Genomic DNA, 22503 nt, shown 5'->3' with positions numbered 1-22503 from the left:
TTCCCAGCAGTAACTGTGATTAAAACTTCCTATTTGCCTCTTTTTGTCAGTGCTTTGATGACTGGCCTTGGGGAGGGTCTGAGAACTAAATGAACAGGGACAAATCTCTATCCTAGAGATTTCAAGAAACATTTCTTGACTGGCTGAACAAAGCAGTAGAGGTGGTGAATGAAACAGCCCAAATGCATGGTGGCGGGCACCTGTAATCCCAGCTATTTGGGAGGCTGAGGCAGGAGAATCGCTTAAACCTGGGAGGCAGAGGTTGCAGTGAGCTGAGATCACGCCATTCCACTTCAGCCTGGGCAACAAGAGCAAAACTCTGTCTAAAAAAAAAAAAGAAAAGAAAAGAAAAGAAAGAAACAGCTCAAATGGAGTATTTGATCACCCACAAGTCCACATCGGACTACATAGCATCAGACCACCTTCCTCCCAGTATAATGACCCATGTACTTCCTTTTCCCTTTCCCTCTCTTGTGATAGAATTTCCTTTATAACAAATCACAGGCAGCCCATCCCTGAGAGCATTGGCCAGAAAAGCAGCAGGCCTGGAAAACAAATAGCATGCTACAAATGCTCTACCCAGCAAGTGATGAGCTGAAGAACAGGAGGAAGTCAGTGAGCTGAAAAGGTGTTTTAATTGTTGCTTCTAGTCAGAGGGGCCTCTAGACAAAAGTCCAGTCCTCAGTTTCAATCATATCATACCAGCAAGACTAAAAGGAATCCCCTAAATAAATAAAACCGATTCCCATCCTGACACATACATGAACTGTTACACAGTTACAGCAACACTACAGAAGTGATCTGCAGACTTGTGCCAATCCACAAACTATTTGCTCTTTGTCCACGATAAACTACAGAAACTGAGAATAAGCATTTAGAAATTTTAATTGCAGTTTGATAGTAATTTTATGTGTTGAATCTGTAATAAAAATTTTGTTTGTATTTTGTCTTAATTTTTCTAGAAATTCATTCTTACTGCATTTTACAAAAGTATTGATCCATGGCAACTAGTCCTTCAGCACAGATAGCTTAAGCACTGTCACAAACCTGTAAATATCTACAAGTGTGAATAAATATCTTTCATAACTCAGCAGGAGGCTACCATATAGGCCCTAGCATGTCCCACTCCAAAACAAAAAATAGAATTAACACTACGGCATTTTTTTTTTTTTTGCATGTCACCTTAAAAGAGAAAAAAAAAGTCTAATTTTTCTATTAGAAATTTAGTAAAAAGCATTTTTTACTAGGGTAAATTCCAGTCCAAACTTTCAGACTGGAAGTGATCAGTGTCCGGAGGGTTTTACCGAAGTGTTTATGCAGACTATAGAGAAGATACTCTGAATTGTAAGGTATCATAGTGGGGAAAACCCTGAATCTGAGTCAGAAAACCTGGATTCAAATTCTGCTGTCTTTCTGGCCAATGCTCTCAGGGATGGGCTGCCTGGGACTTGGTGAAATTATCGCTTACTTAATATCAAAAGTTTTTAAACAAAGAACAAGAGGAAGTGGGTGAGCTGAAACAAAAACTTTTGATATTGGGTAAGTGATACTGTCACCAAGCCAGTTTCCGTAACTATAAAATGTGGAAAGTAAAATTGTCTACCCAATCTATATCATAAGAGTGTTGTGAAATTCAAGTGAGATGTCTGTGGAAAGTGCCTCCTAAAGAATAAAGTGCTTGGCTGGACACGGTGGCTCACGCCTGTAATCCCAGCACTTTGGGAGGTCGAGGCGGGTGGATCACAAGGTCAGGAGTTCGAGACCAGCCTGGCCAATATGGTGAAACCCCGTCTCTAGTAAAAATACAAAAAAAATTAGCCGGGTGTGGTGGCACGTGCCTGTAATCCCAGCTACTCAGGAGGCTGAGGCAGAATTGTTTGAATCCGGGAGGCGAAGGTTGCAGTGAGCTGAGATTGTGCCACTGCACTCCAGCCTGGGTGACAGAGTGAGACTCCGTCTCAAAAAAAATAAAAAATAAAGTGCAGTAGAAGTACACAATGGGGTAAATATTATGAGCTTTCAAAGAGTTGGTAGCCTCAAAGAAAATGGCCCCTGTGATATAGTAACAAAGTTGACCAGAATATTGACATTCTTCAAATATCCTGTTAATCAAAGATTTACCAAATTGGAAAATGCTGCCTTCATATCCTTCTCTGTGCAGAAAACACTCTTATTTTCTAATGAATTATGAAGTGTATTTGTTTCCATACCTGCCAGGCATCTAGCACCACGGTGGATACCACCAGGGAGGAAGCAGGAGAGCACACAGTGCCTGTCCTCACAGCTCACAGCTGCAGGGGCGGCCAGGGGCAGGCTCAAGGCAATATGTGACTTGGCAAGAACTAAAGGAAAACAATTCTGCCCTGTTCTCACTTGTACAGCTACTTGAAGACCCCCTCAAAAGGATACAAACTCATAAATGTACCGTTTCACTGCTGTACGCTAGGCAAAAGAAGACCAGAAAATCAGAATGTTTTTAGCTTTATTAAAGACATATTATAGTAGACAAACAAGTAGACAAACACATGCTCTATAAAATATACATTCTGATGTGTGACAAAATATAAACAGATACTAAGAAATGACTACACTGAACAATGACTTGGCTTGTATCTCTGTTTAGGTACATCTAGTATTAGGGCTGCTCAGACTAGTATTATCCAATAGGGGAAAAAAATAATAGTGGAAAGTAGAGGGTAGAAATAAGTCTCACCATTGTAAAGAGGCCACAGTAAACAGCAAAGAGACATTCCAAGAGTACTCGACCATCTGATGATCAATTTCTCTTTCAAGATAGTTACAGTTTGTAGATCACTTTACTCCTTTATCTGAAAACAGGCACAAGTCAAGCTGTTTCTTCACCTTCACCCTATTCCATCTTCACACACACACACACACACACACACACACACACACACACACAAAACCTACCTTACTACTGACAAAACCTTCAGATGATTCTTGGGTTTTCAGGTGGTGTTAAGTGCAGCTTGTAACATATCTCTTAGTTCCAAACTTGTTACTTTTGTCAATGAACCAGACAATTGTCCAAAAAAGAAAGAAAATCAAGGCTAACTGATGTTGGTTTAGACTGTACTCCAAACAAAAAAGTTTAAGGTAGAAAAAGGGGGAAAAAACATCTGCCAACTGTATGGGCAAAGAGATCACGTAATAGAAAAATGAAACATTACTTGCAGGTTGCCAAAAAAAGAATCTTAGCTCAATCTTCTAAGGTTCAACTGTCTTCACAATTACCTCTATAATCTGTATCAAGAAGCAAAGTAAGAAAAGAGGATGTGGCATAAAATGACAGCAAATTTACCTCTGTTATTCCTTTACACTTCTAGCATTTCTGGGGATATTAAAATGATTAAAAAAGGCCATGACACACTTGGGTAAAATATTGGTATAAAACTGAATGCCACAATCTCAACCCCATTCTAATTGGAGTCCCACAGATAAGAAGAAACAAGAATAAAAATTATCAAGAGGGCTGGGCACAGTGGCTCATGCCTGTAATCCCAGCACTTTGGGAGGCCAAGGTGGGTTGATCACTTGAGGTCAGGAGTTCAAGACCAGCCTAGGCAACACGGTGAAACCCCATCTCTACTAAAAATACAAAAATTAGCCGGGCATGGTGGTGGGCGTCTGTAATTAATTCCAGCTACTTGGGAGGCTGAGGCAGGAGAATCGCTTGAACCTGGGAGGCGGAGATTGCAGTGAGCTGAGACCGTGCCACTGCACTCCAGCCGGGGCAATAAGCGAGACTGTGTCTTAAAAAAATAAAAGTAATCGAGTAAAAAAGAGTTTTAATACATTATAGGCTTTTAAATTTGTTAGTATAGTAATACCATTTATGCCAGTAACTACTTATAGATTTCTTCAGAAGATTAAACCCAGAATTTTGTGTTTCATGTTCCCAGCTACGAACACAGGTCAGACCGCTTTTGTCAACCAAAGTCCAAAATTCTCTAGTTTCCTGAAGAGCTCTAAAATGAATACAAAGGACTTAGAAAGGACAAAGTTTTAAGACTATCAGATTGCTTCTGGGGATTTCCAATGATAAAAGTGAAAAAGACCTTAAAGGTCATCTTGCCCATATTCCATCTCAATGAAGAAATCTCTTAAACACTATTAACAGATGATGATTTAGCTTCTGTATGTACCTTTCCACCAAAAAGGCTGATTATTCCATTATCAGATAAATTTACTAAAGAGCCTACACAAAAATTTATTAGCAAGTATATAATACACCTCCCTGTGTATAACTCTGTCTTCTGGAATAGAATTCTTATTTTTCATGATGACCCTTTAAGTAGTTAAAGACTTTTAACACATCTCTTTTCATAGGGAAATGGGTAACAGAATCTAAATTGCTTGACATCTTAACTTCCTTTTACAACCTCACAATGGGCAATGTGAAGACAGCTGTTTTTAAACATGAAAGTTATTCTGAGTTGGCACTTTAGGGGAGCTTGGACATTGGAATGGGTTCCTGCTATTTTTTTCAGGAGAGTAGCTTGTATACGAGGGAAAGTACTGCGGGGTGCGGTGGCTCATGCCTATAATCCCTGCACTTTGGGAGGCCTAAGTGGGGAGATTGCTTGAGCCCAGGAGTTTGTGATCAGCCTGGGCAACAAGGTGAAACTCCATCTCTACAAAAAATACAAAAATTAGCCGGGTGTGGTGGCACAGCTACTCAGGTGGTTGAGGTGGGAGGATCACTTGGGCTTGAGATATCAAGGCTGCAGTGACGACAGTGAGCCACGTTCACACCATTGCACTCCAGCCTGGCTGACAGGGTGAAACCCTGTCTCAAAAAAAAAAGTACAAGTTGCGGAGTGACAGAAAGCCAATGGCATAAGTGTAGATCCTGTACCAGTAGGTCATGGAGTTCAAGGAATACTGTCTTTTCTTCCAGGTGGAAGTGGAGAATCAGCCTGAAAGGGGACAAACAAATCAAGAGAATGTATGTATTCCTCCTGAAAGTGGTCATTAGGGGGCAGTGGGGAAAGGAGCATTTCAGTTTGCAACATTCCTGATTAGCATTAGGCAGACATGATTCTGCTGGAAGAAATACTCATGGGACACTAATCCTACTTAGAGGGTTAACATATTGCTTGATCAGAAACATATGCAATAATGAAAAGTTTCAGGAATTCCTTTTCCTAGGGGTGTGTGTGTGTGTGTGTGTTTATTTAAAGACCAGAGATAGGCTCTTCACATTTAAATAGATTGCTGACTAGTTATTTAGGCAAGCTAGGAATATCTAAGGACATCTCAACCATCTGAGTTGACACAATGGAAAATGACCTGGCTCTTTAGGAGACCAGACTCTGACAGCACTGTCAGTAGAAGGACCACTGCTAGAGCAGAGAGGCAGTACTCCTACACGGGTTTTTTTTTTTTTTTTTTTGAGACGGAGTCTCACTCTGTCACCAGGCTGGAGTGCAGTGGTGCAATCTCGGCTCACTGCAACCTCTGCCTCCCAGGTTCAAGTGATTCTCCTGCCTTAGCCTCCCGAGCAGCTAGGACTACAGGCGCGCACCACCACGCCCAGCTAATTTTTGTATTTTTAGTAGAGGTGGAATTTCACCATGTTGGCCAGGATGGTCTCGATCTCTTGATCCATCCACCTCGGCCTCCCAAAGTGCTGGGATTACAGGCGTGAGCCACCGTGACCGGCCTCCTACATGATGTTTTCTAGAGCACTGGCTCACAGGCTATCTTCTGCTCTCTCACACATGACGGGTGATGCTCATTGGCACAGTCTCTGGCAGCCTAGCCCTAATTCCACCTATTCCATTCAGGAAATCTATCAGAATTTGAGCGAGAGTAATATAATTATAGGGATAACTTCGAATACATTAGAAAGGTGAGTCACAAACTAGTTACAAATTAGTTGTGGTATACCTGTCAACTCATTCTGATATTCTAGTGTGCTATAAAACCAGCATTCAGACATTCTGCTCTAGAGAGCAATGGGTGGTTTTTCAACTGAGTCAAGATTCTTTGTTTACTAATACTGTTTAGAAGCAGAATTTTTTTCTCCTAATGAGTATTTCTTAGACCATTACTCCTGCTATAAAGGAAATACATCTGGCTCAAGTCAGAATGAGCAGCATCACTCTTGTTCTACTCGAACAAATGTCACCAAAGCAGCTTTTTATTAAAGTAGCATAATCCTCCTTAGCTCCTCGAGGGAATTACAGATTCATAGAATGTTACAGCTGGAAAGGGCTTTACAGCATCTAGAAAAATGTCCTCATTTCATAAATGAGAAAATCTAGCCTAGAGAAGTAAAAAGACTCACCCTTGATTACAAAGCCAGTAATAAGCAGACTCAGGAAGCGTACAAGGTCTTAATGAGTCAGTCTAGTACAAACTACACCATAATCTAGTAAGAAAGGAAGAAGAGGGATCGCAGATTGAAGGGATAGGAAATTGTGATCTTTAGGAAGTTCAAAGTGAAAATGATCAGAGGCTGACATAGTAAAGACATAAAAAGGTGTGGCAGTACTAAACAGCTCAAGAAGTGCTGCTGCCCATGGGAGAACACTTAGGATTGAAAATAAGTATGAATAAATGCTCAACTTTCTGGCAAAAAGTTGAGAAATTATGTGAGTTTGGAACCCTTGAACCAGGACTTAAAAATAGATATTTTTATTTAAGTGGCTGAAATTATCTAGTGAGTAATATTGGATTTAGAAGAGAGAACTGGACAGGAAGTGTAAGGAAATCTGAAAGCACAAAGAAAGAATTACATTGCATTAGAGTGTGAAGTTATTTACCTAAAGCTCTTTGGTATCAGAAATTCAAGAAAATTTTTGGCTTAATCACTTGTATAAAATAAGGACCGGCCGGGCTCGGTGGCTCACGCCTGTAATCCCAGCACTCTAGGAGGCCGAGGCGGGTGGATCACCTGAGGTCAGGAGTTCGAGGCCAGCCTGACCAACATGGAGAAACCCCGTCTCTACTAAAAATACAAATAAAATTAGCCGGGCATGGTGGTGCATGCCTGTAATCCCAGGTACTTGGGAGGCTGAGGCAGAAGAAGGGCTTGAACTCGGGAGGCAGAGGTTGCAGTGAGCCGAGATTGTGCCACTGCACTCCAGTCTGGGTGACAGAGCGAGACTCCGTCTCAAAAAAAAAAAAATAAGGACCACTACAAGGCTTTACAGTATAAGAATTTTGGGGCCAGGCAAGTGGCTCATGCCTGTAATCCCAGCACTTTGGGAGGCCAAGGCAAGCAGATCACCTGAGGTCAGGAGTTCAAGACCAGCCTGGCCAACATGGTGAAACCCCATCTCTACTAAAAATATCAAAAAAAAAAAAAAAAAAAAAGCTGGAAATGGTGGTGTGCCTGTAATCCCAGCTACTTGGGAGGCTGAGGCAAGAGAATTGCTTGAACCTGGGAGGCGGAGGTTGCAGTAAGCCAAGATCATGCCACTGCGCTCCAGCCTGGGTGACCGAGAGGGACTCCATCTCAAATAATAATAAAGAAAAAAGAATGTTTGCATGTTCTTCTACTCCCAAGAGCACTCTTCCCTTCTTAAGATATACTGCACATTGGTAAAAGATTAAAAACAAAACAAACTTGGAAAAGAAGCAATCTTTGGTTTCCTGGTCAATGAAGAACTTTGCTGAAAGAAGATATTCCCATTCAGAGAAAGCACAAAGTGAACACAACTAGAAACAACTGAAACTCAGTCTGGTATTTCAATACTGTGTCATAACAGCCAGACAACTTTCCAGCTGTTCTTCAAGACAGAAAACTCAGATTCTGACAATGAAGAAGATGGATGTGGCCCAGTGCAGAAGTCGGATGGACAAATGGTTCCAGAAGCTTTCTACTTGCAAATAACCTGAGTGATGAAGATTACAGGCTTATGAGTGATAACAATTTGCTAGGCACTATAGGTGAAGTACAGAAGAGTTGCTGAGAAGGTTACAACAAATTAAAGAGGATTCCCCACAAGAATCAGGTGAAAACAGAGGTGGATGACGTCTAGCACTAGTAATGGGTCTGTAATAAAGTGGCTTACCTCTTTTGGGCAAACTGAAAATATGACAGGAAGTAAGCAAAGAGAAAACCAAGCTTGGACAGCAGTGAGCCAGAGTAATCCATATAGTGGTAATTTCAGATTCAATGTAGGGATCAATTTTATCCTTAATAATGGAAGGCTGAATACAGAAAATGAATATGCATCATCTGCAAGATTTCCCAGGGGAGAAAATAGGGAAAACAGAGGAAAGTGGAAAATCCACAATCTGAGTCAACATTTGCAAGGCCACCTAGGTCAGGTACAAAGTGCGACAGAAGTATTAATGAAAGTTCCACTTACCAGAGGTCAGAGAAGACTGAGAAGCAGGAGCCCAGACCAATGGAGAACCAGAGCGAGAAATAAAAGTAGGTTCCCTCCAAATTCATGGTGAGAAATTTCACAAATATTTCATGATAATATACATCTCAGACTTTTGAATGACCCCTGGTAAATGAGACAGAGATTTTCTAGAACTCAGCAACATGAGACATTGAGAGAGCAAATAACTGACCCATAGTTGCAAAGTGGCATGTTTTTGTAGCTTTTGGAACATGGAATGCCTTTCCAGGAAAACGTTCTCCAGACACAATCAGAAATGGTGAATCTGGGGCACTGAGACTGAGAAATCCAGTCATAGTCCTGATTGTGATAGTAGGAAGAGTTCATCATGGGGAATATTTGCCAAGATATAGCACACCTAATAGAACCCAGTTAACATCTCCAACACCAAACAACAGTCACTTTAGAAAGTGAACAAAGAGAACTCAGAAATAATATTTTCACATTCTGAGCAAGCAGGTGTGAGCACCTATTTCACTACCAAAAGAATTCCTGTTCACAGAATTTCAAATACTCATTTAAATAATACACCTGTTGCAACTCAAAGAGCATTAAAGCAGACAATGACAAGATTTGCAGACTCAAATATGGACAGTGATAGTGATTTGTATCCTAGCGGCTCACCCCAGTCAGAACATGGCAAGAGCAAAGTCACAGAATGAAAGAGATGGTTCTGATATCAGCAACTGTTCTGGCTCCAATTCATGTCACAGTACTGCTTATGAGTCTGACTCAAGTTCTGCAATCTTTAAATCAGCCTCCAGTTTTTGAAGCGTTCATTATACATAAAGTAACAACCCGATCTAACTCATTGGTTCCTGAAGGAATGACTGAACCTTCCTCAATCAATTTCTGTTTCAGTAAAAAAAAAGAGGGAAGGAGGGAGAGGGGGAGGAAATGAAAGGAATTTCCAAACAAGTTTTCCTCTAGGTGCATACAGCTGTGACAGGACTGCCAGGCTCTGAAAGAACAAGCTTTTTATGTTAGAAAGGGAGTATCACCTAGCACTTTTAAACAGATGGCAAATGACCAGAAGTATGAACCTCTAGGCATGAAGAAGGCGGTTAATTACACCAAGACTGTGTTTATGTGTATACAATCACTAAGTAGCTGCCTCTATAGATACACTTCTTAACAAGTAAGTTTTTAAAACTTTTTATTTATTTATTTTACTTTTGAGCCAGGGCCTCACTCTGTCACCCAGGCTGGGATGCAGTGGCTTCACACAGCTCACTGCAGCCTTGATTTCCCGGGCTCAAGTGACCCTCCCACCTCAGCCTCCCAAGTAGCTAGGACTACAGCAGCATGCCACAATGTCCACCTATTTTTTTAATTTATTTTTTTGCAGACACAGGGTCTCACCATGTTGCCCAGCCTGGTCTCAAATTCCTGGCCTCAAGCAATCCTCCCACCTTAGCCTCTCAAAATGCTGGGATTACAGGTGTGAGCCACAGTTTTTATACTTTAAATAAAATTTTTAGATCTCACTAAATTGAGTTATTTAAAATCTGTGATCTGAGAAGCTACTTGTCAATATTATAACTGGATATTACATATAATTTTGGCATATCAAAAATATTTACATTGCAGCCAACACATATGGTCAATGAATACAAAAATTATTTATAAATGCACATATATTTACAATGACATCCCTGGGCAATAGGGACAAAAAAAAAAATTCACAAGAATACAAAAATCTTTGACCTGGTACCAGTTGGTCAAGCCTGGGATTCTTGCCAAAGACCTTGAATATCAAAGCCCCAGTCTCAACTATCTGCCTGAAACCACTGAAGAATCCCAGGCACACTTCCCAGAAGGCTCCAAAGTTATTTTTGCTCCTTGGAAAGCAAAGTAGAACATCGAAGTAGTGATGTTTTCTCAGGACCATTCTGAAGACTAGGGCAATCCAGCATGTTAAGCAGCAATGTGACTCTTCCTGACAAGCAGATGCACACCAGGGCACATCCCCATGGAAGCATCAGGAAGCACATTTGCCCCGTATCTTCCCTCTGCCGGTGCTGCACATTTTTGATGAGCTGTACCCATTTCTGTCAGCTGTTGCCATTTCTTCATCAGGTATAAGACCAAACAACGCATGGCCCACCTTGGTGCGGTCAGATGCAATCATAAAGAAAGAGTAAAGCAAATGCTGACTTCGGAGTTTCTTCTGAGCTCTGAGGTAGTAAATGCAAAATTAATTAATAAGTCTCTGCCCAGATTTCATCCTGAAGTGAGTTTCATGTGCCCTCACTACCATCTTGAATGTTCCGAGTCCTACTAAAATCAAAAGCATGATCCTGTAACCTGTGGCAGGACATGGAAGAAGCAGAACAGTCTGGCTCTCTCCCTGCCAGGCCCTCATTTTGATGAAGTTGTGGTGACTCATGGACTGGCTGCTGGGAAAAAGGAGGATGAGGCAGGCCTAGTTCTCTGTTTATGTTCCACACGGGCCGCTGCAATGTTTCTGAGAATGAAAGACAAGAATTATCAGTAGTGACTGGTAAAACTTAATATCCTTTTAGCCAAATCCTCAAAGAAATAAAGATGTTCAATATTCCTGAATAGGGACACTGAAATCACACACACACACACACACACACACACACACACAAAAACCACCACCAGAACATGGTCTTTCAAATCCCTCTACTTCACAAACCTAACCAATTATTTACTGAGATCATACTATATATCGTCTACTGTCACCTGTTATTTTAGCGATTCTGTTGCTACAAAATTTTTTATTTTATTTATTTATTTTTTTGAGATGGAGTTTCGCTCTTGTTGCCCGGGCTGGAGTGCAATGGCGTCATCTCGGCTCACCGCAACCTCCGCCTCCCGGGTTCACACAATTCTACTGCGTCAGCCTCCCAAGTAGCTGGGATTACAGGCATGTGCCACCATGCCCAGCTAATTTTGTATATTTAGTAGAGACAGGAGTTTCACCATGTTGGCCAGGCTAGTTTGAACTCCCAACCTCAGGTGATCCGCCTGCTTCAGCCTCCCAAAGTGCTGGGATTACAGGCGTGAGCCACCGTGCCCGGCCACAAAATTTTTAAATAAAACTCTTTAGACACATGGAAAAGAACTAAAAGACAAAATGGTATCCATATTGTAATGAAAGTTTCATGATAGGTAATAATCATTGATTCAGTGCAGCCATTATATCTTTAAATATGTCACAAAATTGTTTTAAAAATAAACAGCCATTCCCTTCCAACTCCTAGCATGTCAACAATTCTAACAACAAATGATAGTCAAAAGGAGCTGTATTAAATCAGATTATCTGCACACTGGTTTCAAATATGCATTTCTCATTCTTCTTTAATTACAATGGTGAACTATTTTCCCAAAGACTGTTTACTGAAAGTTATATTAACTTCATAGGGTACATTTTAGAAAAAGCTAGCCAAACATTATAAAAACAAATACCCAGAAATAAAAATAAAATCCATGTGAAAAGTAAGCTAGAGCAGGGTTTCTCAAGTTTTAATTAATATGCACACAAATAACTTGAGGATCTTGTTAAAATGTAGACTCTGATTTGCTAGATCTGCTCTGGGGTCATTACTCTGCATTTCTAACAAGCTCTTAGGTAACGGTGATGCTGATAGTCAACAGACCAGACTTCGAGTAAGAAGAAGCTAGGATACCCCACATAAAAAATCGCCAATGGGCCGAAGCACTCTCATTTGCTGATTTCCTTACTTACGGACCAGATTAAAAATGAAGGCATCCCCAAAGTTACAAAAAAGATGGGACTACATTTCTGGTCCTTCTTAAACCCTTTTTGTATTAACTCTTCTAAGACATCCAACAGTAAAAGTGGATTTACTGTTGATGCATTTCTTTCATGAACACTTAATGTAAAAATAAGAGATTAACTTCAGTAATAGTGCTTTCCTCTGACCTGTACCTCTTTAGAAGTCTTTGATCTCTTAAGAACAATAGAGGCTGGGTGCAGTGGCTCATGCCTGTAATCCCAACACTTTGGGAGGCTGAGGTGGGTGGATCACCTGAGGTCAGGAGTTTGAGACCAGCCTGGCCAACATGGTGAAACCCTGTCTCCACTAAAAAAAATACAAAAAATTAGCCAAGCATGGTGGTTGGCACCTGTAATCCCAGCTACTCAGGAGGCTGAGGCAGGAGACTCGCTTGAACCCGGAAAGCGGAGGTTGCAGTGAGCCGAGATCGTGCCACTGCACTCCAGCCTGGGCGACAGAGCGAGACTCTGTATCTCAAAAAAAAAAAAAAAAAAAAAAAGGTGAGCCTAACTCAGATACTTGCAGGGATGGTTCTGGCAGGAGTAAATGATCTAATGTGGGACATGAAGTAGTAAATGCAAAATTAATTAATAAGTCTCTGCCCAGATTTCATCCTGAAGAGTTTCATGTGCCCTCACTACCATCTTGAATGTTCCAAGTCCTACTAAAATTAAAATCAAAAGCATGATCCTGTAACCTGTGGGACATAATCTAACATGGGACATTAGATTATTCACTCCTGCCAGAACCATCCCCGGGAGTATCACAGTATACTTTGCCTTCCTCTGTAAACCTGTAGTTCTCACCTCCTACCCTGTCTTTTTTTTTTTTTGAGACAGAGTCTCACCCTGATGTCTAGGCTGGAGTGCAATCACTCAATCTCAGCTCACTGCAAGCTCCGCCTCCTGGGTTCAAGTGATTCTCCTGCCTCAGCCTCCCAAGTAGCTGGGATTACAGGCGCCCACCACCACGCCCAGCTAATTTTTAATTTTTTTAGAAGAGATGGGGTTTCACCATGTTGGTCAGGCTGGTCTCGAACTCCTGACCTCATGATCCACCCGTGTCAGCCTCCCAAAGTGCTGGGATTACAGGCGTGAGCCACCATGCCCAGCCTGACCTCCTACCCTATTCCACTGCTCTTCCATGTCAGGCTGACAGAAGGATGAAAGCTGATGAAAAGCTTGGATGGACAGGAAGACACACATGCTCAGCATTACTCTTCATGATTTAGAAAGAGTTTTGTTTCAAATGCCAAGTAGGTTATCAAATGCCTAATCTATACAATATAATGTATATTTCTTTTCCTGGGCCATGTGAGACAGGGGACACAAGCCCAAAACTGCGTTCTCACTTATGACCTTGATCATACCTCATAGAAAAAAACACCCGCCAAGTGAAGCTGAAATTAAATGTTTACCTGCTAAAACAGCAACAAAACAAAACATTTAAAACTCTTCTCAGCCAGGCATGGTGGCTCACGCCTGTAATCCCAGCACTTTGGGAGGCCAAGGCAGGCAGATCACGAGGTCAGCAGTTCGAGACCAGCCTGGACAACATGGTGAAACCCCATCTTATAAAGATACAAAAAATTAGCCGGTTGTGGTTGCACATGCCTGTAATCCCAGCTACTCAGGAGGCTGAGGCAGGAAAATCGCTTGAACCTGGGAGGCAGAGGTTGCAGTGAGTTGAGATCACGCCACTGGACTCCAGCCTGGGCAACAGGGCTAGACTCCATCTCAAATAAAAAAAAAAAAACTTCTCAGTAGGCCGGGCACAGTGGCTCATGCCTGTAATCCCAGCACTTTGGGAGGCCAAGGTGGGTGGCTCACCTGAGGTCGGGAGTTTGAGACCAGCCTGACCAACATGGAGAAACCCCATCTCTACTAAAAATAGAAAATCAGCTGGGCATGGTGGCACATGCCTGTAATCCCAGCTACTCAGGAGGCTGAGGCAGGAGAATTGCTTGAACCCGGGAGGCGGAGGTCCTGGTAAGCCGAGATGGCATCATTGCACTCCAGCTTGGGAAACAAGAGCGAACCTCCATTTCCCAAAAAAAAAAAAAAAAAAAATCTTCTCAGTAAAAACCATCACCAAATTATGCCCAAATTTTATTATTACTATTTTTTGGAGACAGAGTCTCACTCTGTTGCCCAGGCTGGAGTGCAGTGGCACGATCTCAGCTCACTGCAACCTCCATCTCGAGCTTAAGTGATTCTCGTGCCTCAGCTTCCCGAGTAGGTGGGACTACAGGCATGCACCACCATGTTAGGCTAATTTTTGTATTTTTAGTGGAGACAGGGTTTCCCTATGTTGGCCAGGCTGGTCTCAAACTCCTGACCTCAAATGATCCACCTGCTTTGGCCTCCGAAAGTGCTAAGATTACAGGCGTGAGCCACTGTGCCCGGCCCCCCATATTTTATTCTTTTATTTAAATAAAGATCGGAGAAAAATTAATACCCTATATGATACCGGGTGCGGTGGCTCACACCTGTAATCTCAGCACTTTGGGAGGCCAAGGCAGGCAATCACATGAGGTCAGGAGTTCATGACCAGCCTGGCCAACATGGTTAAACCCCACCTCTACTAAAAATACAAAAATTAGCTGGGTGTGGTGGTGCACGCCTGTAGTCCCAGCTTCTTGGGAGGCTGAGGCATGAGAATTGCTTGAACCAGGGAGGCAGAGGTTGGCATGAGCCAAGATTGCACCACTACATTCCAACCTGGATGACACAGTGATACTCTGTCTCAAATAAATAAATAAATAGCCTGTATGAAACCTTTTAAAAGCTTTTTGTGTATGGCCTCTGAATTTTCAGTAGTGTGATCCTGTTACCCCCACAAAAGTTGTTTCCATCCTATAGATGAAGACTTCTTTGTAACTCTAGTATGCAGAAATCTCTGGCTATAGTTTATACCATTTAACAATGGCCAGTTACTCCTATATACCCATCTGCTTGCTTCCTGTCAAATGAGAGCACTACCTATATGATAGAAGGAAGAGTCAATTAGACGAAAGTAAAAACAAAATAACAACAAAAATACATCCCTTACCACCGCTCATCTGTGTGGAGGGAAGTTTCTTCTCACTTATCCTCTCATGGTTGGTGGGAAAGGCAGATGGCTCTCTGTTGGCTGACGGTATCAGGCTCTCTAGGGCAGTAGTATCCTGGGGAGGATGTACTAAATATGTCTCTTTAGGCATTTGGACCATGAGGCTGGACAGTGTCTGATCAAGAACGTCCTCCTCAGCAATATAGGTGTATGGACAGTATTCTCGGGTCCTGGAGTAGATGTTGGCATTGTCATAACAATCTGAGCAAATCACCCGGGTACCAGTGCCACCTAATAACAAGAAAAAGAATCTAAATATCTTTCTGTTAAGGAATTATTTTTTGCCAATCGTCAGTTTTCTTCAAAAGTTGTCATCATCATTGCTAGCATGTATTGAGCACTTACTTTATAAAGTAGGTGAAGTTTCAAGCCATTTCTGTGAATTGATTCATTAATCCTCACAACATCCCTATGAGGTAGGTATTATTATTATCCCCACTTTACAGATAGGGTAAACTAAAGCACAGAGAAGTTAAGTAACTTAACCAAAGTCATACCGCTACCGGGTGCGGTGGCTCACGCCTGTAATCCCAGCACTTTGGGAGGCCGAGGCGGGCAGATCACAAGGTAAGGAGATCTAGACCATCCTGGCTAACACGGTGAAACCCCATCTCTACTAAAAATACAAAAAATTAGCCAGGCGTGGTGGCGTGCACCGGTAGTCCCAGCTACTCGGGAGGCTGAGGCAGGAAGATGGCGTGAACCCGGGAGGCGGAGCTTGCAGTGAGCCGAGATCACGCCACTGCACTCCAGCCTGGGCGACACAGCGAGACTCTGTCTCCAAAAAAAAAAAAACAAAGTCATACTGCCAGAGTGAGGAGCAGAAACAGCCATTCTGGCTCCAGAGCCCATGCTCTTGAAAACTACACTGAACCATCTCTGTCTATTGTGGATAGACAGATCATGCCCAAATCAAGGGAGCAAGATAAGGCTGGTACTGTGCTACAAGACACATGCTTGGCTTAAGCAAACTAAGTCAGAGAATAAGGAGTTATGATGACTTCACTTCATGAAAAACCATGTTACTTTAATGAGTCAAGAGGTTAAGTAACACCAATTGCTACAAGCATCCCTAGGGAAAGCTTCTGACAATGAGAAGTCCTGCCTGACAAGTACATGGTTGACAGAAGTATAGGTTTAACAATGAACTCCCTGGATTATTATGTGCTTTGAAAACTGAATGATGAAGGAGAGAAGAGAGAGTGAGAAATAAAGAGTGAGTTACTTATTCAAAATCATGCAACAGGCCAGGAGCAGTGGCTCATGCCTGTAAGCCCAGCACTTGGGGAGGCCGAGGCAGGTGGATCACCTGAGGTCCGAAGTTTGAGACCAGCCTGGCCAATATGGTGAAACCCCATCTCTACTAAAAATACAAAATAAGCCGGGCATGGTGACAGGTGCCTGTAATCCCAGCTACTCAGGAGGCTGAGGCAGGAGAATCGCTTGAACCGGGGAGGCAAAGGTTACAGTGAGCTGAGATGGTGCCATTGCACTCCAGCCTGGGTGACAAGAATGAAACTCTGTCTCAAAAAAACCAAAAAACAAACAAAAAAAAATCATGCAACAGAATGTTAGAATTGGAAGAGAGTGAAAAGTAATTTAGTTTAACCCAGAAAGCAGTGTTATTTCCCACATACTTCAAAGAACAGACTTTTAAGTATTCTTTTAAAAGTCAGAAATGCCAGCCAGGTGCGGTGGCTCATGCCTGTAATCCCAGCACTTTGGGAGGCTGAGGCAGGCAGATCACAAGGTCAGCAGTTCAAGACCAGCCTGACCAACATGGTGAAACCCGTCTCTACTAAAAATACAAAAATTAGCCGGGTATGGTGGCACGCACCTGTAATCCCAGCTACTTAGGAGGCTGAGGCAGAGGAATCGCTTGAACCTGGGAGGTGGAGGTTGCAGTGAGCTGAGATCGTGCCACTGCACTCCAGCCTGGGTAACAGAATGAGACGCTTTCTCAAAAACAAAAAAAAGAGTCAGAACTACTATATTTTTCATGAAAAGCCAAAATCCAATTTATCAATTAGATAAAGTTCTGTTGACACCCAGCCTAAAAAAGTCTCTGAAGAAATGGAATAAATCTTCCATTTGTATAGTATTTGAAGTACCACACAGATTTGCTGAAAAGATCTGTGAGAATCTTGGGGGAAGTGCTTTACAAATTATTGTCTCTTTATTTAAAAATTAGAAAAGTAAAGCTCAGATCTTAAGTAACTAGCTTCATGGTCACAGAGCTGGAAAAAGGAAGAAGTATCAATTAAACCCAATTCTTCTGTCCCTTAATTCATTCAGTTCTGTCACTCCCTATGGGAGCGAGGCTATGAAAAGGGTGGAGGGAGAAGAACTCTGTGTATGGGTACGCATCTCTACGTGTTGGGATGTCAGGTTCATTTAATTAGGGAACTCTTTACATCTCTCTGATGTTCTCCAGTATATGCTGAGAACCATTGCTACCATTTGTTGATTTCTTTTAGAGGTGGGGAGTCTTGCTATGTTGTCCAGGCTAGAGTACAGTGGCTATTCATAGGTGCACTCACAGCACAATACAGCCTCGAACTCCTGGCCTCAAGTAATCCTGCTTCAGCCTCGTGGGTAGATGGGACTACAGGCATGCCACCATGCCTGGCTCCTAGCTACCCTTTAAACTTTACTGAATGTCTACCTGTCAGGAAGAGAAACCAGCCTCCCTTGGATGTGGTCTGAAGGATGCCCACGCCTGAAAAGGGTAAGAAAGAGATACCTGAAAAAAGTTTGCAGAATATCCCTTTCCTATAATTACACAAGTTTGGGAGCCTCTGCTGTGTACTCTGATCTCTTGTTTAATGTGTTTCTCCACTCTGTAAGATGATTTTCATATCCTTTTAAGACTTTAGTCAATTTTCATCCTATTTTGCATGTGGCTAAATGCTTTCATTAGGTATCTTACTTTAAAATATTGCTTCAGATTAATGGAGAAACTACACACTGAAAAGTAAACTCAATAGAATAGGCTGAAATTGTAACCATAAACAACAGAGTCATTACCGTCAGTGCCTTTGTGTATATATCCATTGGCAGGAGGCATAAGTTGCTGATGACTGCCTGCCTCAGAGTTGCTGTAGCCTTCCTGTGGCTCAGACAGCGTTCCTTGGGAAGACAAGTAGCTGGGAATGTCTGCAGGCAGATTGAGCTCCTCTGTAAAAGAGACATTTTTAACTCTCAAAGGTAGGCAGTTGAAGCCAACACTCAGAAGACTATTTTGCAAATGTGTTCCACTTTGATACTATTAGCAAGAAAAACTGTACGTACCTAGGACCGCAACAGCTCTTGGTACTTCCCCTAAAACTATTTCTCACTAGAATTCTTCTCAAAGCTTCACTTTAAAAGTTTCATTGAAAGAAACAAAACCTAAAGGTTGAAATCTTATCTACTGCCACACTTTCATAATCTATCTGCCTAGATTTCTTTTCTTGCAGGATTCCAGGGTGAGAGGTGTAAAAGACTGACCTCAATGATCCAGTTTGATATTCAAGGGAAAAAAAGAGACTGATCTCAATCACAAGGGCTCCACTCTTCCTTACAGCAAAATTATGATGAAAAGGAGCCTTAGACATTAAAAAGAATGCATCTGTAATGCGTTTTTAGAAGTAAAGTTTGGCCGGGCGTGGTGGCTCACGCTTGTAATCCCAGCCCTCTGGGAGGCCAAGGTGGGTGGATCACGAGGTCAAAAGATTGAGACCATCCTGTTCAACATGGTGAAACCCCGTCTCAACTAAAAATACAAAAATTAGCTGGGCATGGTGGCACACGCCTGTAGTCCCAGCTACTCGGGAGGCTGAGTCAGGAGAATCGCTTGAACCCGGGAAGTGGAAGTTGCATTGAGCCAAGATCATGCCGCTGCACTCCAGCCTGGCAACAGAGCGAGACTCTATCTCAAAAAAAAAAAAAAAAATTTACAAATTCTTAAAATTGGTCAGACGCAGTGGCTCATGCCTGTAATCCCAGCACTTTGAGAGGCCAAGGTGGACAAATTGCTAGAGCCCAGGAGTTTGAGACCAGCTTGGGCAACATGGCAAAACCCGACTCTACTAAAAATATAAAAACTTAGGCGCGGTGGCACATGCCTATAGTCCCCGCTTCTCAGAAGGCCGAGATGGGAGAATCACCTGAGCCTGGGAAGTCAACGCTGCAGTGAGCCATGAATGTACCGATACACTCTGACCTGGGCATTACAGTAACACCCTATCTCAAATAAACAAAATTCTTTCCTCAAAGAGGTTCTGTTATGAACCTATTCCTCAAAGAGGTTCTGTTATATCAAAGAAGTTGAACATTTTAACAACAAAAACTCCCTTCTATCACATATCAGGTAATGTATCACAGCTCTTCAGTTTTTTGAGGGGGAAGATGAGGTCTTGCTATGTTGCCCAGGTGGGCCTTGAACTCCTGGGCTCAAGCAGTCCTCCCACCTCATCCTCCTGAGTAGCTGGGAGTACAGGCATGTGCTACTATGACCAGCTCTCAGTTTTTTATATTGTACAATTAATCCTATACTACATTCTTGACTGAAGTACAAGCCATAGGTGTCATGTGGGTACTACTTACCTGTGTTTGTGATACTATAGTCTTCATTTTTCCTTCTCATGTGGTAAATAACAATGACCCAGATCAAAGAAGTGCCAACAACACAGCAGACCACAACAATGATGACAATGCCAACTGTGGTCCAGCCATCATCTTCATGCCCAATGCTACTCTGGGAAGAGTCACAATTGGGGGATGAAATGACATTTAGGTAAATGTGGCCACGTTCTGTCCCAAGGGTGTTAGACATAATGCAGGTATATTTCCCAGCATCTTCTAGCCCGGCATCTACAATGATGAGAAGCTGATTGGCTGCAGCAAAGAAATGTCGTTCTGTCACCAGCAAAGGCCCATCATCTTTAGTCCAGTTGAGACGAGGGGCAGGACTCCCTCCAGCTATGCACTGTAACACCGCAGTTTCACCTCGTGTTACTGTCTTATCCTCCAGGGGTCTAATAAATGAGGGTGTCTCTAACAGGAAAACATTAAAAAAAAAAAAAATGAAAAGTTAGGCAATTTTATTCCCTAATTTCTACTGAATTAGACCAATGGGGGTATAATAAAATGAGTAATTTTATATACTCATGGGAGGATTAGAAGTTAATGTTTCAGAACAAAATCCTGAAAAAAGCCTCAATCTTTTCTCGATAATTCCAGCTTAGGCAAGCTATCCTAAGAAAGAAGTTCAGGGCAGCTGCAATAGCTGGAGGGGGTGAGCAGCGGTGACCCATTAAAAAAGATTAAAAATAACTTAAAAAAAAAGAAATTCAAAGATTTATACGCAAAGATGTTTACTACAAAATGTGTAACTTTAAAGAATAAAGAAAAACATTTTTAAATCTAGCAGAAAAATGATTAAGTAAATTATAGTCACATGATCTTTTACAAAGACTTTAATAACAAGGCAACTTGTGGTACAATATTAAATGAAAAAAATGTAGGTATATTTGACTACATAAAAGTGAGAGGGGAAAGTCTAGAATATGCTAAAATCCTTAAGTATTTGAGTGACTTTCCTCCCCTTTTCCTAATTTTCTGTATATCTTAACATGTTAAAACAATAAATGACTTATTTTTCTAAGGCTGAGGCAGGCGGATCATGAGGTCAGGAGTTCGAGACCAGCCTGACCAACATGGTGAAACCCCGTCTCTAAAAAAAATACAAAAATTAGCTGGGCGCAGTGGTACATGCCTGTAGTACCAGCTACTCAGGAGGCTGAGGCAGGAGAATCACTTGAACCCGGGAAGTGGAGGTTGCTCTGAGCCGAGATTGCGCCACTGCATTCCAGCCTGGGCAACAGAATGAGACTCCGTCTCAAAATAAATAAATAAATAAATAAATAAATAAATAAATAAATAAATAAATAAATGACTTCTTATTTTTCTGGTTATACAAGTAAACAATACAAACCAACAAACTTAAAAAAAATAATAATAATAACTGACATATAGGAAAATAGAGAACTGGAAAGTAGAATTTACCCTGGATTTGAGTTCCACGAAGAAAAGTATTGTAATAAGGAAGAAAAAACAAAACAAACAAACAACAACAACAAAAAAAACCCAGGCCAGCAGGGGAAAATTTTTAGGAAAAAAGGCATTTTACCAGAAATAGGGTTAAGAAGAACACACTGAAAAGGAAAGCAGAAACTCTAACCAGAAAACACATCTTTTTTTTTTTTTTTTGTATTAAATTTTTTTTGAAAATGAACTAGGAGCAAACAGTTAAATAGTCTTAGGTTCCTATCAAGCAATAAGTGAAGCAGCATCAAATGGCTGGGATACTCCTAAAAGAACAGTGGAACTCTCAATGCAAACTCAGTGAATAGTAAACACACCTACATGAAACAGAAACCTTACAGAGAGGGACTTAAAAAGATAAGCTGATAAAGGAATTTGAACTTTCAATTATTGTGACAAGGATGCCTACCTAATTTTGCCCTATGTATTTTCCCACATTTCAGTTATCTGACCCACTAATTCCTAGACTGACATAACCTTGCATAAAATTGTGAAATAAGATAAAGATCTAAGAATCACAGAGGTAATCTCAAACTTATTTTTCTTGCTCATTAAGACCAAGAGTAGCTCCCAAAGACTCCAACAAAAGCAGGGACCCATGGAGCAGTAAACGTACCTAACACTGTTAGGGAAGCATTTGCTGAGAGACCTCCTGCTGTATTTTGTGCCATGCAGCTATAGATTCCCATATCTTCTATTTTCACATTGGCAATAAAGAAGACGTCATCCTCGGGCATGACGTGCATGCGTCTTTCTCGAGCCGCAGGAAAGTCAGTACCACCATCTTTCTGCCAGGAAATCTGAGGTGCAGGGTGTCCCTCTGCAGCACATTCTAATCTGGCCATGGCACCAGTGCGAATAGTCAGATCCATTGGCGTTTTCAGAAAAGATGGCATCTCTGTTTCCAGAAAAATCACCAAGAAAAAGTGGGCAAGGGAACAAAGACACATATATGCATACAAATAGGCATGAAAGAATCTAGTAGGCAAGACACCCCCTAATGTTCCATTTCTTTGTGAAGACAGGCTCTCTGATTGAGAGTGAATATAGTTTTATAAATTTAAAAAAACAAAAACAAACTTTAGAGATAGGGTCTTGCTCTGCTGTCCAGGCGGGAGTACACTGGCGCAATCATAGCTCACTGCAGCTTCAAA

At 41.7% G+C, this 22503-nt stretch overlaps 1 protein-coding gene and 1 pseudogene across 5 annotated transcripts in view; one reads left to right on the top strand and one right to left on the bottom strand.

The window, feature by feature from the left end:
- LRIG2 (leucine rich repeats and immunoglobulin like domains 2) overlaps positions 2466–22503 on the bottom strand; it is a 59063-nt gene continuing 39025 nt past the window's right edge. For all 5 annotated transcript variants that reach the window (NM_001312686.2, NM_014813.3, XM_005271369.3 and 2 more), the window contains 5 exons: positions 21966–22247; positions 19850–20299; positions 18290–18439; positions 15203–15493; positions 2466–10851 (listed from right to left, as the gene is read on the bottom strand). In NM_001312686.2, coding sequence (NP_001299615.1) covers positions 10625–10851; positions 15203–15493; positions 18290–18439; positions 19850–20299; positions 21966–22247 — 1400 coding nt within the window. In that variant the 3' untranslated portion in view covers positions 2466–10624. The remainder of the gene's footprint in view (positions 10852–15202; positions 15494–18289; positions 18440–19849; positions 20300–21965; positions 22248–22503) is intronic.
- On the top strand, positions 7771–9234 carry RLIMP2 (ring finger protein, LIM domain interacting pseudogene 2; annotated as a pseudogene).

This window comes from Homo sapiens, chromosome 1, assembly GCF_000001405.40.
Source record: "Homo sapiens chromosome 1, GRCh38.p14 Primary Assembly".
Lineage (NCBI taxonomy): Eukaryota > Metazoa > Chordata > Mammalia > Primates > Hominidae > Homo > Homo sapiens.
Note: the sequence above shows the minus strand (reverse complement) of the source record. Positions and strands in the feature narration are given on the sequence as shown.